The sequence below is a fragment of the Homo sapiens genome, chromosome 13 (genome assembly GCF_000001405.40).
Source record: "Homo sapiens chromosome 13, GRCh38.p14 Primary Assembly".
NCBI lineage: Eukaryota > Metazoa > Chordata > Mammalia > Primates > Hominidae > Homo > Homo sapiens.
Window position 1 is genome coordinate 26,651,727 of NC_000013.11, and position 13,980 is coordinate 26,665,706.

At 39.2% G+C, this 13,980-nt stretch overlaps 1 protein-coding gene across 10 annotated transcripts in view, besides 1 other annotated feature; it reads left to right on the forward strand.

Moving 5' to 3' along the window:
* Window positions 1–13,980, forward strand: part of WASF3 (WASP family member 3) — a 149,810-nt gene that overhangs the window by 112,588 nt on the left and 23,242 nt on the right. For all 10 annotated transcript variants that reach the window (XM_024449315.2, XM_047430060.1, XM_047430064.1 and 7 more), the window contains one exon: window positions 13,302–13,436. In XM_024449315.2, coding sequence (XP_024305083.1) covers window positions 13,302–13,436 — 135 coding nt within the window. The remainder of the gene's footprint in view (window positions 1–13,301; window positions 13,437–13,980) is intronic.
* Window positions 6,731–7,325: an enhancer, noted in NCBI's record as "NANOG hESC enhancer chr13:27232594-27233188 (GRCh37/hg19 assembly coordinates)". NCBI's record gives its function as "activates a minimal SCP1, AML or CMV promoter by ChIP-STARR-seq in primed H9 embryonic stem cells {active_cell/tissue: H9 hESC(primed)}" and the evidence as "EXISTENCE:reporter gene assay evidence [ECO:0000049][PMID:30033119]".

The following is a 13,980-nucleotide window of genomic DNA, read 5'->3' on the forward strand; positions in this document are numbered from 1 at the left end:
CTGTATCTGCTTAAAAGACTAGTAACTGTTTAAAATTTATGGCATTTATAATGTATGTGACAGTAAAATATGTGACAGTAAATGCTGAGTGTGAAAGTGATAAATAGACTTACACTGTTGTGTTTTACATTGTTTATGAAGTACTATGTTATTTGAAAGTAGAGATGAGTTAAGGGTACATAGTATAATTTCTAGTAACCATCAAGAATAACATAGATATCAAATGAAATCCTAAAATAATGATTTGATTATCCCAGAAGGCAAGAAAGGAAGAACAAAGGAAGAAGGAACAGAAGGGCCAAATGGAAAACAGTCAGATGATAGATTGAATCCTAACCACATCAATAATTTCTTTAAATAGAAACATTTTAAACTTCCTCTTAAAAGGCAGAGATTATCAGGTTAAATTAAAAAGTGAGACTAAAATACATGCATTTTGAGGATGAAGACACTGATTTAAGGAAAGTTAATGAAAAAATATGCCCTGCAAACACAAGTTATAAGAAAGCTGGTGTGGTTTTGTGAATGTCAGATAAAATAGAATATAAAACAGATAAGCCAGGACCTTTAATGGTGATAAAAGAGTCAAGAACACAGAGCTTTAAATGTATATGTACCTAACAAGAGGACTGCAAACTACATGGAATAAAAATAGAACTGAGGGGAGAAGTAGGCAAACTCAAAATCATAGTTGGAGATTTTAACAAGTACCGCTCAGTAATTGAAAGAACAAGTGGACAGAAAATGTGTAAGGATATAGGGGGTTTGAACAATATACCAGCCAGTCTGACTTAATTCATCTTTGTATACCAAACTCCCAAGTTGTAGAATACACATTCTTTTAATTTCCCGTGAAACATACACCAAAACGGGACATCTGGTAGGCCATAAAATAGTAAGTTTTAAAAGATTAATATACAGAGAGTGATGATAATGAGATAATTATAATCTTTTTAGATAATGCTCAAATATTGGAAAATCAAACAGTATTTAAAAAATAATCCTTGGGTCAAAGAAAAACTCAAAAGGGAAGTTAGAAACTATTGCTAACCATGTGGTAGTGAACACAAAATGCCATTGTATTTGTGGGATTTTGTTAAAGAAGTGTATAGAGAAAAATTTGTAGCTTTAAATGTTATGTTAGAAAAGAAGAAAGGTTTAAAATCATGAGCCCATGCCTTAGGTAGGGCCCTTGGTGTTGCTCAGCATTCCCGTTGTAATCTCTGTGTTAATTAATTTTTGTGCTCTTAGTTGCCTATTTCATATCTTTCCACCTCGCACCTCCCCACTCTGCTGATGACTGTGCTTCTTATTTCACTGGTAAAAGAAAAGCAATCAGAGCAGAAGTAAAGGTCTCCCTCTGACACATTGCACGCTGATAGGCTCTGCATCCACGTGTCCTGTTCACCCTCCCTTAAATGGATGGGCTGTTCATGCTCCTATCCATGCTGTCTCCTCCAACGGAGCACTGGATCCCATATCCTCAGGGTGCTTCCAGGATACATGTACCTTCTTTCTTCTCTGTATTATTTTTCCCCCTCTTTCTGTGTCATTCTCATCAAGTATAAATATGCAAAGAAGTCTCCCAATTTGAGTAAATTTCAGATCATCCTCTCCCTGTCATCCCATTTCTTGCTCCCACAGCAAGATTCCTTGAAGGATGTATTCATATCTCCATGGCCTCTATTTCCCACATTGTTTGTTGTCCCCATTGAGATTTCATCACACTCAACGCTTTTGAAACTGTGCTTATTGGCATGACCAGTGACTCGCATGCTGCTAAAATCCAGTGGCCAGGATCAGCCTTCTTACTTCATCTGTTACTGGCATGCGACTCACAGATAACTGTCTCCTCTGGAGAAACTCTCTTCACCTGCACAGTGGTCCGCCACCTCACTCTGGTGTTTTTCCTACCTCCCAAGCTGTGCTTTGTCTCCTCAGTGATCTTCCCCACTTGGCTCTTCTCTGCCTGTTCTCATTTACTAAGTGACCTCATCAGGTTCCATGGCTCAAAGTAACATCTTTATGCTGATGATGTTCAAATGTGTGTCTTCAGTTCTGACCTATCTCCTAGTTTCAAACTTATATACAACTGTACAACTGTCCACTCGGTGTCTTCACTTGGATTTCTAATAGGTATCTCTAATCCCACATGTCTAAAATTTCACTTATGATTTCTTTCTCTCTTTGCCAGCCATCCCCTATCTGTCTTAGCAAGTGGAAGCTCTCCTCTTACAGTGCTTTTGATTGTCTTCTTTCTCTCCTATCAGAGACATCCAGTCCAATAGTGAAATGACGTCAGTCATCTTCAAAATGTGTAGCAAGTCTGTATGCCTGTTAGCTGCCCTGATGTCACTATTCCGATCCAAGTCACTATGCCTCTTGCCTTCTGTTGGATTTCCAGTCACTCCCCACCGACCCCCGCCCCAACACAAAGGGAAGGGCATCTATTTCTCTGTCCTCTTCTTCTACCCTTTTCCCCATCACTCACTAGCCTTTAGCCACACTGGCTTCCTTGATGTTGCTGACATACACCAAGCACATATTTGTCTTCAGCCTGGAAGGTTCTTTCCCTAGATATTCATCTTCCCCCTCTTCAGTCACTTGATACCATCCTATCAGAGAGGGCTTTTGTGACCACTGAAATACCACCACCCACTTCCTTCCACTCTGTTCTCTATAAAAAATATTGCTTTATTTTCCCCATAGCACTTATTTTCACCAGACATATTGCTTGTTTATTGTCTGTTTTCCTCAACCATAATACACCCTTCATGAGAACAGGGGCTGTGTCCACAAGTATATTTCTTCAAGCAACAAGGACAAGGCCTGATACACAGTCGATGCTTGAATATTTGCTGAAAAAATGAATATGCTTAATAATCAATGTCTGTTATCTAAGTTCTTAAAATGCTTAGAATATTGTAAAGAAGTATTTTAAAAGTTCATTATAGTTAATTATGGTTGACTTTTCTTTCTGTTTTTCTTAATTTTTCAAATTTTCTATCATGAGCATGTGTTAGTTTTATAATCAGGACGGTAGCAGTAGAGTCTTTAATTGGACTTTGGGCCATTTTTCCTACCGTTTACTTTCCTGTATTTTCTGTATTTCTTACAATAAGCATGTGTTGCTTTTATAGGAGAAAAAATAGGTTTAAAAAAGAGGAAAAAACTTTAAGCCCAATATTATGACTTGTTATTTTATGGAATTCAATAGGAACTGACATTACAGATACTATAATAAAGTTTCTTTTTTAACTTTTCATTTTGAAATGATTTTAGACTTTAAAAAGACCAAAAACAGTACAAAGAATTTCCATAAACTTTCACCCAGATTTCCCAGATTTTGTTTTACATTTCTTCTTTTTCTCAGACTTCTCTTCCACTTTCCCACCATACAAATGCATGTATGCATATATATTAAAAATGATCTCTTTTTTGTCTCCTTTAATCTGAAATAGTTCCTCAGTCTTTCTGTGACTTTTATGACCTTGACACTTTTATGACCTTGACACTTTTATGACCTTGACACTTTAGAAGGGAAACAGCATTTATGTTATGGAATGTCCGTTGGTCTGGATTTTCTAATGTTTCCTCGTGACTGGATTTAAGATATTGAAAGAAATATCACACGGTGATGATGTGTTCTCCCCTGTGCGTTTCATTAGGAAGCTCATGTGTCTGCTTGTGTCATAACTGGTGGTATTGACTTTCATCAGTGGATTGATTACCCCAAGTTTCTGTAATGCAAAGATTTTTTTCCCTATGTGATTAAAAAGTGTCATATGGGGAGACACTTTGAGACTATATAAATGTTCTGTTTCCCATCCTTCTATGAACCCACTAGTCTCAGCATCCATTGATGATCCTTGACAGAAACAGTTGCTGTGGTGGTTGCAGAATGGTGATTTTTTTGTCATGCCATAATTTCTTCAACATTAGTTAGTAAGCATTCTGCTGCAAATGCTTTCATTTATTTCCCTATTTATTTACTTGCTCATTTATATCAGTATGGACTGATGGATTATTTTATTCTGTGGTTTATAATCCATTGACTTATTTTGATCCTTACGTTTTTCCACATTTGGCTGGTGGGAGCCCTTTCAGACAGGCTTCTGTGTCCTTTTGACATCTCCCCACCAATCTCGGAAGTAAAGTCCTTTGAGTACCTTACTCTTTCTAGCACAGCAATACATTCTAGGTTCATGTGGTTTTCTGCCCTCAGCCCTGGAGTCATTTTTCCAAGAAGCTTGATTCCTTTTAGTGGAGTACAAAAAGCCAAAATCTTGTCAAACCAAGATCTAGGTTCCAGTGTGTGTGCTAAAATTTATGAAAGCCCTAGTTATGACTGCTCTTTTGTTCCCCAGAAAGGACTCATACAAGATACCTTGATTGTTTCCAGTAAATCTTTACTTTTAAATACAGCTGAAAATCCACGTACAGTTTTTATGCTTTGGCAATTTAGAGGTGTGAGACAAAGTCAAAACATTAGTGATTTTCTTTATACTTTGTTTTCCAAAGTAAAAAAAAGTTTCTTTTAAGCTATTCGTGTCTTAAAACAACTGAGTAAAGTGTAGTTTCATAAACAAATGAAAACATTTACCTTTCTCTTTACCTAAACTCTCTTTACTTAAAACTCTCTTTACCTAAATTCTCTTTACCTGAAACTCTCCAGAATTTAGAAACTATTTATCAGTGGCTAAGGCCAAAATAATTGTCACTCAGTTACTAAAAATAATTCATTATTCAAAAAATAACATATAATTTCATGTCGTGACTGACCCCATATTACTAACAATCTGGCCAGCCTACAATAAATAACAAAATTGTTTTTCCCCCACCAAGAAACATGACTTCCTGGTAATAAACCTTCCCAATACTAAGAAATAAAAAAAAGTCTTATCATTCTAACCCAAACAAAAATTCATCGTCAATACTTCCATTAAAGTTTTTAATTTAAAAGTACAGTTAATATACAAATATATCCCAATTTTGTTAGTTATGTTTTCTCCGATCTGTAACTCACTTTCATGGTATTTAAAATTATTTATTTTAAATAAATACTACCATATATAATCTATAGTTCCTTGTAATAGTCCCATTAAAATAGATTAGGTACAGAAAAAGACTACATCAAGAAAAAAACGAGATCATACTAATTAAAGAAATAAATACAGTCCAAAACATGTTTTCTAATAAATAGACAAGTATACACCCCAAACCTGATACTCATTCCTTATGACTATGACAACTGTGACTAAAGACTATGGACTTTCCTAGAGAAGAGCCTTCCCAACTACATAATACAATCACTGCTGGTCTTGTATATACAACAGAGGGTTGAATTACGACCAGAAGGGGGAACTTGTGAGACAAAGTAACAAAAGTAAGAAGCCCTTTGCTTGTTCGCTTGGCTTGCCAGCAGAATTTCAACAAAATCCCTTGTCAACAAAACTTCACAAAGTGCCTGACTCAAGGACTGAGAGCAGCCCTCTGGAAGAATGCCCTAAAGATGATACACGGGGTAGAGCGCAGGTTCTAAATCACTGCATTTTCCAAATACAGAAGATAATGTCTAAGGATTTTGCTTTTATCATCTGTAACCAGATGTATCCTCACATTTTACTCTATTGTAACTTGTATTAGGTTGGTGCAAAAGTATCTAATGTTACTTCTAAACACATTTGATGTACCTGCTAGACACAGGCAGGGCCGCCATCACTTATATATAAACTGTGGGCCAAAATACTACTTTAAAATAGTATAACAACTCTTGAGAAGCCTCTCCCGGGTTACATTCCTCAGTAAGACTTACAAATAAAGCTAACTTTAATTCTTCAAAAGCCTGATTTTTCTTTAGTTAACAGAGGCATTTATCTCAACCTGATGTATTTGGACATGAGTTCATGTGGTACTAATAAGTCCAGAAGTGGAACCTTTGTCAACAAAGAATGAATAAATTGCATTTACCTCAATGTGCTCCATAATTCAGAATTAGTTTAGCTATTAATGGACTTGCTATTGAAAGAGTGAGTAGAATTCAGCTTTTCAAATCATTTGCTGTTTGCAAAACTGAAGATTGTAATTATAACACTATTCTTATTCATCAGAAAATATAGCTCTTTCCATTTTTTTCTCTTCAGACACTTGTCAGCTTTCAGCAGCTGGCAAAATATTAATTATGCAAGTCTCTAAATTTTATGTCCCTTTATAAATTGAGAACTTCTGAGTGGAAATGTAGTATCAGTTGCATGTTTTTCAAATAGGGTTAGGCATCGGACCTAGAAGCAAATGTTGCTTGTCCTTTTCTGCTTATGCAGCATCGAGCTGAGAGTACATGATGTTGTTCTCAACAATAGTTGGTGTGCTTTGAGAGTATTGCTGTCACTTTTGCAAGAGGCTATTGTGTATACACTCCCATAGTCTTGGTGTATATGCTGTCCCTATTAATTAGTTTTCTGTACAGCCGAAGGGGATGGGATGGGAGCTTTTAAAGTTGGACTGGAGTATGTGTGTATATATAAATTTATTTTAAACTATGAATGGTCAAGCAGAAACACAATAATTGGTTTCATTTTGTGACTATGTCAGACATTCAGAAATAAAGAACTGATAGACTTGAATATGAAGCATTTGGAACGTGGTGCTCATCTACAAAACACCCAGCATTTCACCAAATGGATTCTATAAAACAGTAGTTCTGAAAGATGTTATTAGGCGTTTCCAGGCCCAGTCACTATGAGAACATGATATGTTAGATGCTTCTCTTGCAGATTGCCAGTGCACATTAGCTTATTAATGACTTTAAGACACCCCAAGGCATAGAAACATGTTTAATCCTTCTAGCTCCTCATTGCCCAGCCTGCCTTGAGCAGGAAGCATTTGTTGGCTTTGTGCTTGTTAACAAGAAACACTGGCATAGATCATGTGTTTTTCATTCAGCTGATAGTTGTTGAGCACTGGCTGAGCACAAGCAGTGCAGAGGTGAAAGGCAGAACTCCAACTCTCCTAGAGCTTAGATGAATGAAGGCAAGATTAGAGTTCCCTGACGAGTCCTGTGATCCAGGTCAGCTTAGGGCATTGTGGAGCACAGAGGGGGTCAAATGCTCTTACAGAGCCCAGTCTACATCCTGAGTTAGCCAGGACTCAGTTCTTATGTTTTTGTTCACTTATTCCGAAATCTTTTCTGAGTACCTACTATAAGCCAGGCATGCTCTAGACATTGGAGACTGATATAGCAGTACACAGAGCTAAGGGGAATCCTTGTCTTTGTGGATCATATGTTCTAGTGGTGGGAGACAGATGAGAAACAAGATGAATACATACAAGTGCATAATTTATTACTTGGTGATTAGTGCTAGTCAGGAAAATACAGCAGAGCAGGGATAAGAGGGGTGTGTGATCACATGTGTGATGAGGTGATGGCATTTAGCCAGGGCTGCTAGGAAAGCCTCACTTAGAAGGTGACATTTGGGTGTAGAGCTAGAGGAAGTGAGGGAGCAAACCATGTGAGTTTCTGGAGCAGAAGTGGTCTACGCAGAAGGAACTGGAAATGCAAAGGCCTGGGGAGAAGGGGGATGCTTGGGTATGTCTGAGAAACAGTGAGGAAGCCAGGGTAGTTGGAGTGGGACATACAAGCGAGAGGTTAATAGGAGATGAGGCCCAAAGGTGAACGGAGCTAGGTCGTGTAGGAGCTTATAAGTGGTCATCTGGCCTTTAGCTTTTATTCTGAGTGAATTGGCAAGGCATGGAATGGATTTGAACACTCAGAGGAGTAACAGGATCTGAGACTGGTTTGGACAAGATGACTGGGGCTGCTCGGTTGAGAGTGAACTGAGCAGGGGCGTGGATGGAGGCAAGGTTGCTGGAAGACCAATCCCTTGGCGGTTAGGGAGGTCGAGGTGAGTGGTGATTATGCCTTGGGACAGGGTAGGATCAGGGCAGGTGGTGCGTGCAGAGCAGTCAGACCCTGGATATATTCTGAAAATGGATGTGTATGACAGTTTGCTGGAGAGCCAGTGTGGAGTGTGAGTGATTGAGAGATGGCAAGGATGACCCTAAAGTCTGTGACTGGAGCAACGGGAAGAATGGAGCTGGCTCTTCCAAGAGGGGAAGATGGGAGAGAAGCAGGCTTATGAGGGGGTATTAGGACTCCATTCAGGGCAAGTTATGTTTCAGTTATTAGACACCCAGTGATGCTGTCAGTAAGGAGTTTGATACATGCATCAGGATCTCAGGAAGAGGCCCATCTGGAGGTAGAAATTTAGGAATCATCAGCATAGAGGAAGTGTTTACAGCCATTAGACCGGATGAGATGCCTAAATGAATGTTGATGGAAAAGAGAAGAGGTTGGAATATTTAACACAGATCTTTTTTTCTGTGTCAGTAGCTTTTAAAAGTGGAGTTTTTGGAAATATTAAAACACTAGGTTTAGAAGCAGAAGTAATTAGCTTTTGTTTTTTGTTTGGTTTTTTTTTTTTTTTTTTTTTTTTTTTTTTTTTTTAGCAAAAAGAACTTTTGTTAAATAAAAAGAAAAAGCCAAGACCTCGAGCCCTGGACTCCTGTGGAATTTTGAGTCTGGGGAGGGAGGAAGCAGCAGAGGGAGCAGAGGGCCCACGAGGCAGGAGGGCACCTGCAGGCTCTTGGCAGGCAGGCTTGGCCTGGGCATCATGGTCAGCACTGGGCCATGCCAGAGAGAGGCCGGATGGATGAGGCCTGAGAACTGGCCCTTGACTTAGCAGGGAGAAATGGTCTGCTGAGTTGGGTCAGCCCTTTCATAGAGTGATAGGGCAAAAACAGGACTGGCGTGGGGTTGGGCAGAATGGGGAAAGGGGCGAGGACAGAGCAGCATGGGGTACTCTGGGGAAGCTTTGCTGCGAAGGGAGGAGAGTAAGAGTGTAGGGTGAGGAGCAGGGGAAGAGGGAGGGTTTTTCAGTGCAGAATTCTAGATTTTTATGATTTTCTTCTCCAGGTTTTTAAAAAAAACTGTGATAAAATTTACATAACATTAAATTTACCTTAACAGTTTTTAAGTGGACAGTCCAGTAGCGTCTTTGTGTGTTGCTGTAAAGGCTGGGTAACTTAGAAAGAAAAGAAGTTTATTTAGCTGATGATTGTGCAGGCTGTACAAGAAGCATAGCACGAGCATCTGCTTCTGGTGAGGCCTCAGAAAGTTTCCGCTCATGAAGGAAGGTGAAGGGGAGCTGTGTGTGCAGAGGTCACATGGAGAGAGAGAGGAAACAAGGAGTGGGAGGTGCCGCCAGGCTCTTTTTAACAGCCAGCTCTCACAGGAACTACTAGAGCAAAAACTCGCTCACCCAGGGAGGGCATTAGTCTATTCACGAGGGATCCACCCTTGTGATCCAAACAAATTCTATCATGTCCCACCTCCAACATTGGGGATCACATTTCAACATGAGATTTGGAGGCAACCAGCATCCACGCTGTAGCAAGTAATGTTAACCACTGTGTACACATGGCTGTGCAGCAGATCTCCAGAATGTTGTCATCCTGCAGAAGCAAAACTCTGCGCTCGTTACAGAACTCCCCATTTCCCTCTTCCTCTGACCCCTGGCAACCACCATTCTCCTGTCTCTATGAAATGGACTACTTTACATGCCTCATATAAGTGGAATCGTACAGTATTTGTCTTTTGTGACTGATTAATTTTGCTTAGCCTAATGTCATCCTCAAGGTTCATCCATGTTGTAGCATGTGTCAGAATTTCCTTCCTTTAAAGGCTGAATAATACTCCATTGTATGTGTGTACCACATTTTGTTTATCCGTTCATGTATTGCTGGACACTCAGGTTCTTCCACCTCTGCTACTGTGAATAGTGCTTCTGTGAACATAGGTATGCAAATGTCTCTTCACATCCTTGCTTGCACTTCTTTACGGGTATATACTCAAGTAGAGTTGCTGGGTCATATGTTTAATTTTGGGGGGAACCACCACACAGTTTTCCACAGCAGTTGTACCATTGTACATTCTCACCAACAGCGCACAGGGTTCCAATTTCTCCACATTCTTACCAACACTTTTCTGCGTTTTTGTTTTTGTTTTTTAAATAGTAGCATCCTAATGGGTATGAGAGGTGGTGGTGAGAGGGATTTCAGTCATTCTTAAAACTGTTAAAATGATTGAAATCATGGCAGATTTGTAAGAGGAGAAATGGTAGGTAAAGCACTTGGGCTTTGGTCTGCCCCTGTGAGTGCTCAGGAGTGTCAGTCAGCTACTACTGTGAGGAAGGGGGTGCCCATGCCTGAGGCAGAGGGAGCAGAGCAGCTGTGCAGAAGCACAGAGTGTGAGGAAGTGGGAGAGTGTGGGGCTGCAAGTAGTGCATTCTGGCTGGAGCACCAGGCAAGGGCAGAAATGAGGTGCGGCCAGTTAGAAAGGCTACTATTAAAAAGTCAAAAAATAACAGATGTTGGCAATGCTGCAGAGAAAAGGGAATGCTTACTTACTGTAAACATGGTGGGAATGTAAATTAGTTCAGCCACTGTGGAAAGGAGTTTGGAGATTTCTCAAAGAACTTAAAACAGAACTACCATTCCGTCCAGCAATTCCATTACTGGGCATAGACCCAAAGGAAAATGGATCATTTTACCAAAAAGACACATGCACTTGTATGTTCATCACAGTGCTGTTTGCAGTAAGAAAGACATGGAATCCACCTGAGTACCTATCAGTGGTGGATTGGATAAAGAAAATGTGGTACATCATGGGATACTACGCAGCCATAATGAAGAATGAAGTCATGTCTTTTGCAGCAACATGGATGCAGCTGGAGGCCATTATTGTAAGAGAATTAACACAGGAACAGAAAACCAAATACTGCCTGTTCTCACTTTTAAGTGGGAGCTAAGCACTGGGTACGCATAGACATAAAAATGGGAACAGTAGACACTGGGGACTACTGGATGGGGAGAGAGGAAGAGGGGCAAAGGCCAACAAAGTGTCTCTTGGATACTGTGTTCACTACCTGGGTATGGGATCATTCATTCCCCAAACTGCAGTCACTCAATATACCCATGTAACGAACCTGCACATGTACCCTCTGAATCTAAGATAAAAGTTGAAATTATTTTTTAAAAAACCGGGGAAAAAAGAAATGAAGTGCAGTGCACAGGGCCCTCTGTGTCATACACATACACATACACATACACATACACATACTTATTAGATTTTATCTTGAAATGACGAGGAGCAGTAAAGAATTTAAATAGAAATGACGTAGTCAGTTCTTTCTGTTAGATCATTTGGCAGCAGTGTGATGCATGGGTTCGGGGGTGGGAGGTGAATCTAAAAGCTATTGATGTAATTCAGGAGAGAAACGAGGGTCTGGGGCAAGATGGCGGTGGGTGTAGAAGGGACAAGACTTGGTGTTGAGTTAGCCGTAGAGAGAGGGAGCTGTCACAATGACACCATTTCTGGCTTGGGCTTCATTTTGGATGGTGGGTTCTTTTTAACATGGGGATGCAGGTTTGAGGTAAGGTGAAAAGGAGTTATATTTCAGCTTGTACAGGATTTGAGAATCTTAACAGACGTCAACATGGAGATGTTCAGTAGCTAGTTAGATAACAAGTCTGGAGCTCAGGAAGGTGTTCATAAAGCAATAAACGAGCATTAATTCTGGATGCTGCAGCTAGTTATAGTATTTTAAAATGTATATAGTTTGTGTGAAGGCTTTATTTTTTTGCCTTTGTGGAACCATTTTGCATATTATGGGAATGGGAACTGTTGACAGAATTTTAAGTGAACCCAGAAGACCATGCTGTGGATATTGAGCTTTAAGAGAAGCAATTTAATGCTTAGCTGAAAGCTGAAATCTGGGTTTTTCTCTCCTTTTTTGGTGGGGGATGGGGTACATGTTTATTGATTTATTCTTATTTTCTAAGAGGAATTCTTCTTGTTAAAACAGTTACACAGAATCTATGAAATTATACTAATTTTAAATTCATAAGAATTCATTCCCAGTGTCTAGGTGTAACCATTTAAGCAGTAAAATATTTTAGTCCATTTCATTAAGTAGATAAGAAATTATCGAGTGTTTCATGGCATGAAATAATTCATGAAGATTGCAGCCAAGGGAGTCCAGGGAGCTATGTGATAAAAGCAGAGAACTAAAAGTTAGAAGACCATATTTTTGTTTCATCTATTTCTGCCATGTACTAGCCATGGGATTTGGACGGATCACCTTTCTGATCCTCTGTTTAGTCAGCCAGAGAATGAAAACATTAACTTCCTGTTTACCTCCCGGGCTCACTTATTCATTGAACAGGTGTGTGCAGGAGGCATCACACAGGGCTAAGGCTAAAACATGGAACACACGGAGTTCACAGTCTCATGGATTATAGCAAAGAGTACAGAAAGTGGCTGTGAAAGCAGCGTATAAACTATAAAGCACCATGGGAACTTTAGGGTTATTCTTAACTCTAATGAAGTTTTCTTCCTGGGAGGTTCAGGTTCTCTCTCTCATTTGAGTGATAAACTGATAGAAAATGAAAATAAAAAGAAGTGGTAGGTATGTCTGTCAGAAAAGTTAAGGTGAGATGTGCCTTGCACACTCAGAGTAGGCAGCTATTTAATATTTGTTGCATGGATAAAGTAATGGTGTTAGGATTTGGAAATTCAGTGTAAGCAGATAATGATTCTTATCTTGCTTGCTGAATTTTCAGAAATGTTACATTTTAAGAAAAGTGGGAGTTATATCTGGCACTCAGAGGAATGTGGAAATGAGCCACGCAGAAAAATTTAACTCAGAATTCAAAATCTTGGTTTATAGAGAGTGCCTGAGTCAGCGCTATATACCTAGATTTCACAATATTAATTAGAAGAATTTAATGCCATTGGAAAGTGTTAGGCACAAATAAAATATCTAATGTTTCTGATTGTGAATGAGATAAAATCCCAGATTTAAAGGCCAACATGATAATTGAATTATCTTGAGGAATAAGTGAAAGTTTGGTTCCTGAGATTGTATTTACACTTAAAGCGTGAAAAATGAGAACTTAAGTTGCAGTTAGTGGGAAGCAACTTGAGCGATAGCTCATGTAGCAATAAAGATTCTATACTGTCTGGGATATTTTAAAATTCTACAACATTGAGTCAGTTTCAGATTTATATGAGTATCTCTAATAAACTTCAAAAGTTCTAAAGGCCTTGGACTGTGACACTTTATTTTCATACTCGTTTGCACAAAATCCCACATGTTGACAGGAATAAGCACTGGTGAGGATGTGTGAGGGCCGCTTCATCAGCTCCCTAACAGATGGCCTTCTCCATTCATTTTATTCTACAGGCAAACATGCTGAAGACATATTTGGTGAGTTGTTTAATGAGGCTAACAACTTCTACATCAGAGCAAATTCTCTTCAAGACAGAATTGATCGCCTTGCTGTCAAAGTCACCCAGCTGGATTCAACAGTGGAAGAGGGTAGGTAATTGCCTGAAAGCAGTGAGCTAGAAGTGATGTTGACAAGATGGTAGTAATTAATTGCAGTGTAATTACTGCTTTTTCCTTGGGATGGCATGCTGATATTTCATCTTGTCTTTCCTAGAAGAATAGCGAGGGGGAAAAACCTACAACTTTGTGTTAATTCACGATGAAAAGATTCATATGTGGTCTACCTCATAACTCTATACTCTTTTTTAAAAAATTACAAATATAGTATTTGTTTTAAAGGCTTCTTTGAATACAGTCAGTATTAGAAGCCCCAATTTAGGTTACTGACAGTTATTTTAAAAATAGTTTCTTACCTAAAACTTACAGAGCCACTCTAGAGATATGGTCCAACTGAGACAGTGTTACACATACCTTGTGTGACACAAGCACCTGGTGTTCTTAGGATTGATGCCTGTAAAATCCTGGTGATTCTGCTGATTTAAAAATTTTGTTAACCTTCTCAGAAATAGCATTTACCGAAAGCCTTTAGGCTGCAGGCTTTAAAATAATGTTAATGTCGACAAGCATTGTATAG